The sequence below is a fragment of the Homo sapiens genome, chromosome 3 (genome assembly GCF_000001405.40).
Source record: "Homo sapiens chromosome 3, GRCh38.p14 Primary Assembly".
Classification (NCBI taxonomy): domain Eukaryota; kingdom Metazoa; phylum Chordata; class Mammalia; order Primates; family Hominidae; genus Homo; species Homo sapiens.
The window spans coordinates 169,026,527-169,039,178 of record NC_000003.12 but is presented as its reverse complement, the minus strand read 5'-3'; the positions used below and the strand labels follow the sequence as shown (position 1 = coordinate 169,039,178).

General features: G+C 39.0%; 1 long non-coding RNA gene across 1 annotated transcript in view; it reads left to right on the top strand.

Annotated features, from left to right (window-relative positions):
• Nucleotides 1-10,413, top strand: part of LOC107986051 (uncharacterized) — a 35,428-nt gene extending 25,015 nt beyond the window's left edge. The window contains exons 2-3 of the long non-coding RNA XR_001740574.2: nt 7,371-7,520; nt 10,009-10,413. This is a non-coding gene — a long non-coding RNA (uncharacterized LOC107986051). The remainder of the gene's footprint in view (nt 1-7,370; nt 7,521-10,008) is intronic.
• The last annotated feature ends 2,239 nt before the right edge of the window (nt 10,414-12,652 follow it).

Genomic DNA, 12,652 nt, shown 5'->3' with positions numbered 1-12,652 from the left:
CGGCTAATTTTTTTGTATTTTTAGTAAAGACGGGGTTTCACTGTGTTGGCCAGGATGGTCTCGATCTCCTGACCTCGTGATCCGCCCACCTCGGCCTCCCATAGTGCGGAGATTACAGGCGTGAGCCACCACGCCCAGCTTATGTACCACATTTTCTTTATCTAGTCCATTGTTGATGGGCATTTAGGTTGATTCTATGTCTTTGCTATTGTAAATAGTGCTTCAATGAACATATGTGTGCATGTGTCTTTATGGCAGAATGATTTATATTCTTTTGGGCATATACCCAGGGATGGGATTGTTGGGTTGAATTGTAGTTCTGTTTTAAGCTCTTTGAGAAATCTCCAAATTGCTTCACAGTGGTTGAACTAGTTTACATTCCCATCAGCAGTGTATAAGTGTTCTCTTTTCTCTACAACCTCACCAGTATCTGTTATTTTTTGACTTTTAATAATAGCTATTCTGACTAGTATGAGGTAGTATCTCATTGTGGTTTTGATTTGCATTTCTCTGATGATTTGTGATGATGAGCATTTTTTCATATGCCTATTGTCCACGTGTATGTCTTCTTTTTAGAAGTGACTGTTCATGTCCTTTTGCCCACTTTTTATTAAAGTTGTTCATTTTTTGCTCATTAATTTAAGTTTCTTATAGATTCTGGATATTACACCTTTGTAGGATAGTTTGAAAATACTTTCTCTCATTTTGTACGTTGTCTGTTTATTCTGTTGATTTATTTTATTTTTATTTTTATTTTTTTTACAGTGCAGAAGATCTTTAGATTAGTTTGGTCCTATTTGTCAATTTTTGTTTTTGTTGCAATTGCTTTTGGTGACTTTATCATGAAATCTCTTCCAAGGCCCATGTCCAGAATGGTACTTCCTAGGTTTTCTTCTAGGATTTTTATAGTTTGGAGCCTAACATTTAAGTCTTTAATCCATCTTGAGTTGATTTTTGTTTATGGTGAAAAGAAGGGGTCCTGTTTCAATCTTCTGCATATGGCTAGCCAGTTATCCTAGAAATCAATGGAAGACTGGGATCAAAGAAGAAAAAAATTGTTAACATGCAAGCAGTTTAGGCAATAATAAATAACATCTACTATCTATAGCATTTAATGTTTCAGACATTTTCTCAGGGCTTTGCATATATTAACTCATTGAATCCTCCCACTGATACTATGATGTAGTATTATTATTATCCCCATTCTATGCATGAAGAAAGTGAAGTACAGAAAGGTGAAGTGTTTTTCTTGAGATTACACAACTAGTAAATAGAGGAGTTATGTTTCAAACCAAGGCAATTTGACTTCAGAGTTCCATGTTTTGTTTACCACTATGCTGTTCTGGCTCTTGAGATAAAAATAAAAAAAAATTTCACTTTATCAACATCGAGGTCAATCATGACCTTAACGAAAGTTGTTTGAGTGAAAAGACAAAGCCAACAGCCATGCTGGAGTGCACTGGAGAGCCTAGGAGATGAGAAGACGGACATCATATTTAGATACAGCTCTACAAACAGCTTTCAAAAAGCAGTGGCTCTTAGAAAGGTAGCTTTGATCAGGCCCAAGATAGAGTTGTGCCAGGATAACTCCTCAGAGGTCAGGGCAACTATGAAGATTCCAAAGACTCAGGTCATCACTCAGTGGATATGAGGGAGGGATTCTGAAATGCACCAGCCACTTAGTTCTGTCTTAGAATGGACAAAAGCATTGTATTACCTCTGATATTAAATTTTTGAGGAAGGCCAGACACGGTAGCTCACGTCTGTAATCCCAGCACTTTGGGAGGCCGAGGCAGGAGGGTCACCTGAGGTCAGGAGTTGGAGACGAGCATGGCTAACATGGTGGTGAAACCCTATGTATACTAAAAGTACAAAAAATTAGCTGGGCATGGTGGCAAGTGCCTGTAATCCCAGCTACTTGGGAGGCTGAGGCAGGAGAATTGCTTGAACTTGGGAGGCAGAGGTTGCAGTGAGCCGAGATCGCGCCATTGCACTCCAGCTTGGACAACAAGAGCAAAACTCCACCTCAAAAAAAAAAAAAAATTCTTTGAGGTCAAAATCTATTTTACTCATCTCATTATCACTTCTATTCCCAAACCCAAGCATTTATTGCAGTGCTTTATTTATATAGAGAGCAATGTGGTGCTGCCGAAAGTTTCTCTTTACTGGCTGCGTCTTTGGACAAATCCCAATCTCCTGGTTCTTCAGCTATGAAAGATGAGAAACATCCCCCTCTCAGTATTGTGTGTAGGATTAAGAATAAAAATACTTGGCCAGGCGCGGTGGCTCATGCCTGTAATCCCAGCACTTTGGGAGGCCGAGGTGGGTGGATCACGAGGTCAGGAGTTGGAGACCAGCCTGGCCAACATGGTGAAACTCCGTCTCTACTAAAAAAAATACAAAAATTACCTGGGTGTGGTGGTGCACACCTGTAGTCCCAGCTACTCGGGGGCCTGAGGCAGAAGAATTGCTTGAACCTGGGAGGTGGAGGTTGCAGTGAGCCAAGATCATGCCACTGCACTCCAGCCTGGGTGACAAAGCAAGACTCCATATAAAAAAAAAAGGGATAAAAATATTTTATTAATTACACAATTCTATGCAAATGTTAGTTATTAATATTATAAACTGTTAATGAAAGGACAAAGGAAGGGGAGAGGGAGGGAGACATCCTGGTGTTTGAGAGTTTCACCAGACTGGAAGAAACATAACTGCATTAAAATTGTATGCACATAGTAGGTGCTCAATAACTACTTCTTGGTAAATTCATTGTTTTTTCCACTTAGGAAGGACTAGAAGCGACAGCATGCAACCACTGGGGTCAGACAAGAATGATCCTGGCCTTTGCCTGAACACTATTCACAGGAGCACATTGGCCAATGGAGGGGGAAGGTCATGTAGCAGCAGTGATAGAACAGGCATTTAACATAAATATTTGCTGATTGATTGAACTGGACATATCATCAACATTGCAGCACAAAACTTTTCAACAAGGGATATGAGGTTTTAGAGAAATAAGCCTGCCAGCACTATGGTAGGCAGACATTTCCTGAAGTCACATTGCAATGCCTCCAATGAATTGCCCACCAATGCCAATTAAATGCAGTTGTAGTTAAACCTTCAGGGTGGTAGAAAATGATCTTTAGGACAGCTTAGGATTCACTGGGGAGTATCCAGTCTACAATGTTATAGTTTCACACATAATTTGAGAAGGAGACGTAGGAAGATGAAAGGCAGCTGATCGATGTCTATGTGGACTAGAGATTCTTCATTCAGAGCAAGTCTGAGAATGTTTAAATCTTCAGAAACAAGTAGGGCTTGTAGCTCTTTCAGACGTTACACCATGTCCTCTGAAATTTTCCTTCAAGTGCACATAACTCTTTTTTTTGAGATGGAGTTTTGCTCTTGTTGCCTAGGCTGGAGTGTAATGGCACGATCTTGGCTCACCACAACCTCCACCTCCTGGGTTTAAGTGATTCTCCTGCCTCAGCCTCCCAAGTAGCTGGGATTATAGGCATGCGCCACAATGCCCATCTAATTTTGTATTTTTGGTAGATACAGGGTTTCTCCATGTTGGTCAGGCTAGTCTTGAACTCCTGACCTCAGGTGTTCTGCCTGCCTCGGACTCCCAAAATGCCGGGATTACAGGTGTGAGCTAGCATGCCCGGCCCTCATAACTCATTAACATACCTTCACAAAGCACTGACTTTTCAAGTGAACGAAACAAAGGAGAGCAACAAGAACAATAACGGACACAGCAAATAAACCAAAGAGAAAAATAACACAATTAAGAAAAAGTACCTGTCTATGTTTGGGTCTGCAGGACCTGGCTGTATTAATGTGAAGTATGCAAAACTATTGAGAATTTTCTATATCAGATCTCTAGAGGAGTCATCATTCCACACACTTTTGAATTCTAGAACATCACCAGATGTCTCTAACCATCTTCCAGATATCTCCAAGTACACAACTAGGAGGATGCCTGGTAGGATAGGTTAAGGTCAAATGTGGGGCTTTTACGCAGTTGCTGATTGAGGTAGCCAAAAAGAGGGTTGTATACTTTGGTTTTTTTCTTTTGGAGACACACATGCTGTGTTGGTAGGGACCCCTGGGATAGTTGCTTTTTCGGTCCTAGGGTTTCACTCTGTGCAAATTCCACTTTGTGATGAGACTTTCTTTCTTTGGATGTAAATGCCCTCTAAATTAATTAAAGCCTGGAAGCCTGAAATTAAAAGCTGGCTGCTGCAACATACTTTTTTAGGTACAAGTTGAATGTAGGACTAAATGTTATGTTTGAAACATAATAATGTGATTAGTTTTAGCCAATACAATTTAAAAAGACTTGTATGTTACTGATGCATGGGCAGTCAAGCCCCTAAATTCTCTTGTAAGAAATCCATGACTGTACCCAGTTTAGCTTCATGAAGAGAGCATTCACATCCCTCCTTGCAGGTAACAGAAATTCACCTAGAACTTACATCTGCTCAAACCCGCTGGTGGAAATGCTGCTTCTCCCTAACTGGAGGAGTTAAATACAGCTACTTGTGACACACATGCTTTCAGAAAGGGTGATTTCATCACTTTCCTCTTGCAGTACCACCCTGCCTTGCTCAGCCCTGAGACATTCCCTTAGGTTAGTAAGTCTCCTGTTTTCCCCATCTAGAAAGGAAGTGTTAAATTTTGCTTTTGTCTAATTCATACCTGGTGACCCCATATTTTCTGTATTAAGGTGAACTTATTTACTCATTTCCATTTTTAAAACCAGATAACCAGATAATTTATCAGGTACACATGCCATTGTCATTGTCAGCTCTGTCATAGATTGAATCATTTCTTTCTCTCTCAAGAAAACATACAAAATGGAAAATGGTAATACTGATGCTATTATAGAGATGACATTGAATCTGTTCTAATTTAAAAGAAATTAATAGGCATTGGTACTTTATTACCAGTAATCACCAGGAACATACTTCATAATTGATTATCGCTGTGGCTGAGTACTATTTCCTAAGACAAGTGTCTGAGAGAGGTTTGACTCTGAATGAAGTTCAGTCAGACCCACTGATGGGCTTATGACCCTATGCTTACCAACTCCTCATAACTTTCATGGAGGAGGCCTCAAGAAATCAGACTGTGGGACTCAGGCAAGAGCTCTGTACGTGTGGAATGCACAATAAGACTCAGGCAAGGAAGAGAGATCAGAAGTCTAGCAGACTCTGACTTTCCATGTCTGTCCTGACATCATTCATTTTAGCTCATTACTCTCAAAGTGTTATTGAATATATTTCTATATAAAACGTACTTTAGTAAATAAAATAACCCATTCATCCTAATTAAAATTGTATTAAGAACTTAATTATGAGTAAATGTTCTTAAATTACATTTATTCTCATTCCAAAGTGCTCAGATATCCAAATATTAAATTAATATTTAGTGGATATTTATTGAACATCTAGTACATTCGCAATCCTATCTGCAGATGTATCAGAGAGCAGAATAGTCTCAGTCATCACAGAGTTCACTTTCTTGATTGGGAAATAAGTAATAAAAAGCAATTATAATAAAATATTATAAGTGTCAATACAAGGTAAGTACTAGATGCTAAAAAAATAAGTAGAAAAAGGCACCTAATTCCATTTGCAGGGGAGGGTCCCATGATTGCCTAGAAGACAGGATAACTAAGCTGCTGCTTGAGGGATGGCTAGGAATTAGTTAGGCAAAAGGATCTGAGCTTAAGTAAGAGAGCTCCAGCCAAATGGAATGCCATTAGCAAAGGACTTAAGGGAGAGATGGTTTCAAAGAACCATAAGAAACCGTCTCCATGTCTGGAGTCAAAAATCCAGTGAGGAGGTGGCAAAATTCAGCAAAAATCAGCATATGTAAAACTTCTAAGCCACATCAAGAATTTGGACTTTATCCTAAGGCCAATGGGAAGCCATTGAAAAGTTATATATGTGGGAGTGTGGTAAAATTAGATTTGTATTTTAGAAAGACTGCAGGCTGCACTGTGGAGAATACACGTATCCCTTGCTATGCACTTTATTAGACAGTAAGAACTCACAGTTTTCACCTTAGGAGTGAGGAGACTTGGATAAATTTTATACAAAATCCCTTGTCTCGAACCTCTTGCTACTCACAATACCAAACAAATTTAGATAACATAATGTCCTTTCCTCTCTGAACTCTTACTGTCCAAACTGAGAAATCAAATAGATTCAGAGAATAAAGAATTTTGTAAGTTTGGATGAGTAACAGTGGAGGCTGGAGGAATAATTAAGGTAGTAGTAAAGGAAGTAAGTTGCAATGACCTAAATATTTGAGAGAGATGTAGAATAGAGCATCAATAGACCACTATGATAGATTTAATTCTGGCAGGGTGGGGGAAGCAAGAGTAATGGAGGCAAGGGGGTAAAGGATGTGGCACAATTATTTGTTTGGGGGAACTCAGTGGTCTTTCTACTGCTGTGTTAAGAAGTAAGGAGACAGGAGGGCCCTGGCGAGGTGGCTCACAAGTCACCTCAGGAATTTGGAGGCTGAGGTGGGCAGATCACCTGAGGTCAGGAGTTCAAGACCAGCCTGGCCAACATGGCAAAACCCCATCTCAACTAAAAAGACACACACTATATATATATAAAATATAATATATATACACACATTATATATATGTGTATATATACATTATATATGTAGATAAGTATATTGTATATGTATATATTATATATAATATATGTATATATAACTTTTATATATACATACACACACACACACATATGTATATAATGTTAGCCAGGTGTGGTGGTGCACACCTGCAGTCCCAGCTACTTGGGAGGCTGAGGCAGGAGAATCGCTTGAACCTGGGAGGCAGGGGTTGCAGTGATCCGAGATTGTGCAACTGCACTCCAGCCTGAGTGACAGAGTGAGTCTCCATCTCAAAAAAAAAAAAAAAAAGGAAGTAAGGAAACAGGAATTGTTTCTGATAAAAAATGGAGTATGAGGATCATAGGATGTAGAATATTATAAATTCTGTTTGGGACATACTGAATTTAAGATCTAAGTGGGAGATCGAAGTGCAGCAGTCCAGGAAGCATTTAGATGTTTGAGTCTGAAGCTAAGGAATGAGAGCTGAGCTAAAGATACAGAATTTTTAGCTATTGGCTTATAGATGGTGCAGGAGAGACTGCTAGTTGCCTGCTAAAATCCACCCTCTTCTTTCTGAGGATATGCCCAACTGAAGTCACATTTCGGAGCTCTCCTGGTGGATCCATGTGGTCATTTGGCCACATATTTACCAGTGGATTGTGGACAGATGTGACATATGTAATTTACATATCATTTCTACCCCTGAGACTTCTTATTTTTTTTGCCTCCCTCAGGACCCTGAATTTAACAGCAACCCAGCTGCAAACAGCAGCCACTGATGATGCAGGGATGCAGAGCAGCAGGAGAAAAGAAGCTGGGTCTCTGAGTGACTGTGTGGAGCAGAGCTGCCTTGCCATCCTGAACAACATACTCCTTGACTTTAGGTAAGGGATAGATAAACTTCATTCCTTAAGCCACTCCTCTTTTTTTATGGTAGCTTTTTTTTTTTTTTTTTTTTTTTAATGGTAGCTTAGTCTTCATCCTAGACAATAGAGATGGCAATCCTAAGAAGGTGCATTAGATACCCCAGGGAAAGAATGTAGAGTGAGGAAAAAAAGGTGACATGATAGGATTTTCTGAAACATCAATACTGAAAAAATATTTCTGAATTGTGAAAAAGGGGTGAGAAGGTAAAACCTGAAATATAGGAGGAAATCAAGGAGTGTGTGTTTTCATATAAGCTGGGGAAGGAGAGTTTCAGGAAAAAGGGAGTGGTTTTTAGGGTCAAATGATGCCAATAGGTGAAATAAGAACGGGGAAATAAATCTAAGGTATTTAGTGTCAAGGACGCCATAGATGACTTCAATGAGAACAGGTTCAGAAGAGTAGTGGAGTGACGAGATGGTGGAGAAATTAGAAAGAACCTGCAAACACAGAAAGCGTTTTTAAGAAGTTTGCTGTGTCAGGAAAGAGACAGACAGAGCCAGAGTTATAGATGGAATTGGAATCAGCAACTAACAGCTAACATAGCTGAGTACTTATGAGGTCCAGATACTCTTGTAAACATTCTACACATATTTCCCATTCAATCTTCACAACAACCCTGTTACGTTAATTCTGTTATACATACTTCACAGGTGGGAAAACCAAGGCAAAAAACATGCAACAATTGTCCAAGGCCCTGTTAAGTTTTGGAGCACCCTTAATCATCTTCTGCTATATCCACCTGCTGGTCTGGCAGTCCAGGAAGGTTATATATGTGGGTTCTTTTATTCATAACACTGAGAAGCTTCCTATTTTAACTATTCTTGCTGAATTGGAGTTCAGTTTTAAACTTAGGCCCAACAAAATGTTTAACACTTAGGCAAAGAAAATTAGTTGTTCCATTCCAACCAAGGTTCAGAAACTTTTCTATTTGCCTCACTCTCTGAGCCCTGATTAGTGAAAGAACACATCTAGATGCTCTGTATTGATAATAATCATCATTGATATGGCTTCACTGTGTCCCCACCAAATCTCTTCTTGAATTGTAGTTCCCATAATCCCCACATGTTGTGGGAGAGACCCAATGGGAGGTAATTGAATCATGGGGGCAGTTACCCCCATAATGTACTCATGATAGTGAATAAGCTCTCATGAGATCTGATGGGTTTTCTAAGGGGTTTACCCACTTTGCTTGCTACTTCTCCTTCCTGCTGCCATATGAAGAGGGACATGTTTGCTTCCCCTTCTGCCATGATTGTAAGTTTCCTGAGGCTTCCCCAGCCATGCTGAACTGTAAGTCAATTAAACCTCTTTTCTTTATAAATTACCTGGTCCCGGGTATGACTTTATTAGCAGTGCGAGAACGAACTAATACAATTATTATTTGTTAGTCATATCATGAGTTAGAGTAGTCTCCCCTTATGCATGGGGTATACATATCACAACCTCCAGTGTATGCCTGAAACTGCAGACAATACTGAACCCTCTATGCACTATGTTTTTTCATTCTTGATAATGAAGATTACTATTAAGTGACTAAGGGACAAGTAGCACAGGTAACTGACAAAGTGATGATTCATATTCCAAGCAGGACAGAGTTAGACAATGTGAAATCCCATTACACTACTTAGAAGGGGCAGGCAATTTAAAACATGAATTGTTTATTTCTGGAATTTTCAATTTAATATTTTTAGACCATGGTTAACTGTGGGTAACTGAAACTGCAGACAGTGAAACTGCAGATAAGGGAAGGACTACTGACTGATTTGTGGGTTCATTTGAAACTGCTTGCTTTGGATGCCAACATTATTTAGCTTGCTTGTTAGTTTGAAATAAGCACCAAGGGATCTAGAAAAAGAGCTAAGAAAATATAAAAGAAAGGATTTCTGGGAAATGTTGAGGACCCAGTTACTATAGCAGAGACCATGAACTTAGTATGGCATCTATCTGCACAGTTACGTGATTTCCTCTAAATTATGTTCAGTCACTGAGGTGAATATGCTGAGAAGGGAGATGGTTGGATTCCTCAAGACTTGGGTTTCTGCCAGTACATGATGGAAGAATAATGAGCCAAAAAGTTAGGATATTAAGAACAGAGTAGTTGAAATGATGGCTCATGGGACTTACACTATGTAGAAAAGGAAGACAGGGGAGAGTTGATTAGGAGAATGAAGAAGGGTCAAGGGTTTTGAATGTAAGCTCCACAAGAGCAGGCATCTTTGCTGGGTTCACTCCAGGAGATCTGATGTCTAGAACAATATAAGGTACTAACAGGGCTCTTCATAATATTTAGTACAGTGGCTAAACAAATGAGGTTAAAAAATGTATGGGAAGTAACTGGGCAACAGTCAGAGAATAAGAGTTTTAGGTCAAATAATTATAGATTCTGAATTTGCAATAGAAAATCTGGAGCAGTTTCAGATAAAGATTAATGACTCCGATTTACAGCATTGCGGTGGACTCCTGAAGGGTATTGGACTGGAAAAAGTCATTCGAGATGAGACCAACGTGCTTAGAACCAAAGGTTTGTTTGGGCTGAACACAGGTCTTGCCAGGCACTCAGGATAATAGAATTTGGAGAAGAGAGAAGAAATGTAAGCCCAGGCACCAAGACGATCAGTGAATGAGAAGGAATGATTAAGAGGCTGGAAGACAACACACTGTGATGGACAGACAATAGTATGACCAAACGGTATATGAGTCAATAAAAAACTTCCAGCTACCTCCACTCAATAATAATAATGGTTAATGTGTTCCATTCGCCTGGCTAAAGTGACTCACAATGGATGCTTTATAGTCCGATATACCTGTTTTCATGGTCTAAAATAAAATATTGATTGCTCATCTGGAAAATTATTTTATTCTGTGCCATATGATATGAATCTTGCTTTTTTTTTTCTTTATGTGCCAACACTGGGTGAATTTATAAGGGCAGATTTATTTGACGGAAGTTATCAATCAGTAAAAAGAAAACACGTTCAATCTAGTTTAAGTTTCTGATATTTGTGTAATAATGCATTTGCAAGTTCTTATTATTCATTATTTTTTCTAGATAGGCATTTTCTAGGCTGGGCATGGTGGCTCACTCCTGTAATCCTAGCATTTGGGAGGCTGAGGTGGGTGGATCACCTGAGGTCAGGAGTTTGAGACCAGCCTGGCCAACATGGTGAAATCACGTCTCTACTAAAAATAGAAAAATTAGTTGGGCATAGTGGTGGGCACCTGTAATCTCAGCTACTTAGGAGGTTGAGGTAGAAGAATCGCTTGAGCCCAGGGGGTGGAGGTTGCAGTGAGCTGAGATCATGCCACTTCACTCCAGCCTGGGTGAAAGAGCAAAACTCTGTCCCAAAAAGATGTGTGTTCTACTCCTTCTTTATTCTTATTGCAATGACATGCATGATGGGAGCAAAGTATGTCAAATATCTTGGGTTGGCCAAGGCCTTTTATTTTTCCTAGTGGTATATTGTTTACTTGTTGGTGTAGTTTGAAGTTAACTATATTCAAATTTGACAATAAAAATATTTTCTTTTTAAGTGATCAGTTTTCATTTTGATGATGTTATGTAAAGTGCTAAACATTTTATCATGTCTTGAAACTGAAATTTGTCTCAACTTTTTTTTTTTTCTATTTTTTTTTTTATTATACTTTAAGTTTTAGGGTACATGTGCACATTGTGCAGGTTAGTTACATATGTATACATGTGACATGCTGGTGCGCTGCACCCACTAACTCGTCATCTAGCATTAGGTATATCTCCCAATGCTATCCCTCCCCGCTCCCCCCACCCCACCACAGTCCCCAGAGTGTGATATTCCCCTTCCTGTGTCCATGTGATCTCATTGTTCAGTTCCCACCTATGAGTGAGAATATGCGGTGTTTGGTTTTTTGTTCTTGCGATAGTTTACTGAGAATGATGATTTCCAATTTCATCCATGTCCCTACAAAGGACACGAACTCATCATTTTTTATGGCTGCAACTTTTTTACAGTGTACAGAAGCATGTAAAGGTGCTTTGTTCTATACCTAGAAGAGAAAATGGAAAATTGAGACAATCACAAATTTAAGTATAAAAATAACTTGGTTATTTCATTCAAAAACATTTTTTAGCTGAATGATCTGAATATTTGTCTAATTGCCCTCATTTATTTCTGTCCAAGGAGATACAGTGTCTGAAACAGAAACTAAATAAGAAGTTTCTGATTCTTTGATTAAAGAATAGGTGAAAATGTTTTGACGTCTGTGCTATAATGGATAGAACCTATCCTAGTCAAAAAATCCTTTATCTTGATTGTCAATAGCTAGAATTTAGGGATAGAAGCCAACCAATGGATAGGTTGTTTCAGAAAGGAGTGTTTTCTTGCTGAACTCTTGCTTTCCTTTGTCTTTTTTAAGTTGAAAGTCACCAGGCACTCTTTGATAGCTTGTTCCAGTATTCGCTAGTATTCTTTCCCTTTCACTGTTTCAACTGTGCTAGTCAAATGAGTTTCCATAGCCCTGTCCTCAAAAGTTGTATAGGGCATGATGGCTTGTTTTGTTTGGCAAAATTCTCTAGAACGTGATTCATTGTCTGCAGGTGATTCATGGTTAGGAAATTAATTCTGAACTCTGCCAGTGATTGCGGTTGATTAAAGTCCAGAAGTCCCTGCCGTCTGTTCACTAGCACTCTTTGTCAACTGAAATATTTCTATAATAAAAAGAGCCGAAAGTAGATGTGCTTGATGCATGGAATTAACATGTGTGTTTGCATCTTTTGAAACAGCTACTCAAGCCTACGCAATTTTAACACTTGGCATGAAAATCATTTGAAAAGTGTCTGACTGAATGAATCACATTTTACAAATAAATATCTGTCAAATGGTGCAATTACTTCAGATCCAGTCATTAAGCAATAAAATAAAGAAGTAAATAGGATACATCTGCTGCAAAGTGCTATAGATATGTGAGTTTCCTTCTCAAGTTACTTGTCTTTAATATTTTAGCCTAATTGGTAGAATGATTCACTAGAAACATCTACCACTCAATCTAATTATGGCACCAAAAAAAAGGGAGGGGGGAGGGAAATAAGGCTTTCTAGGCTAGTCCACAGGAAAAG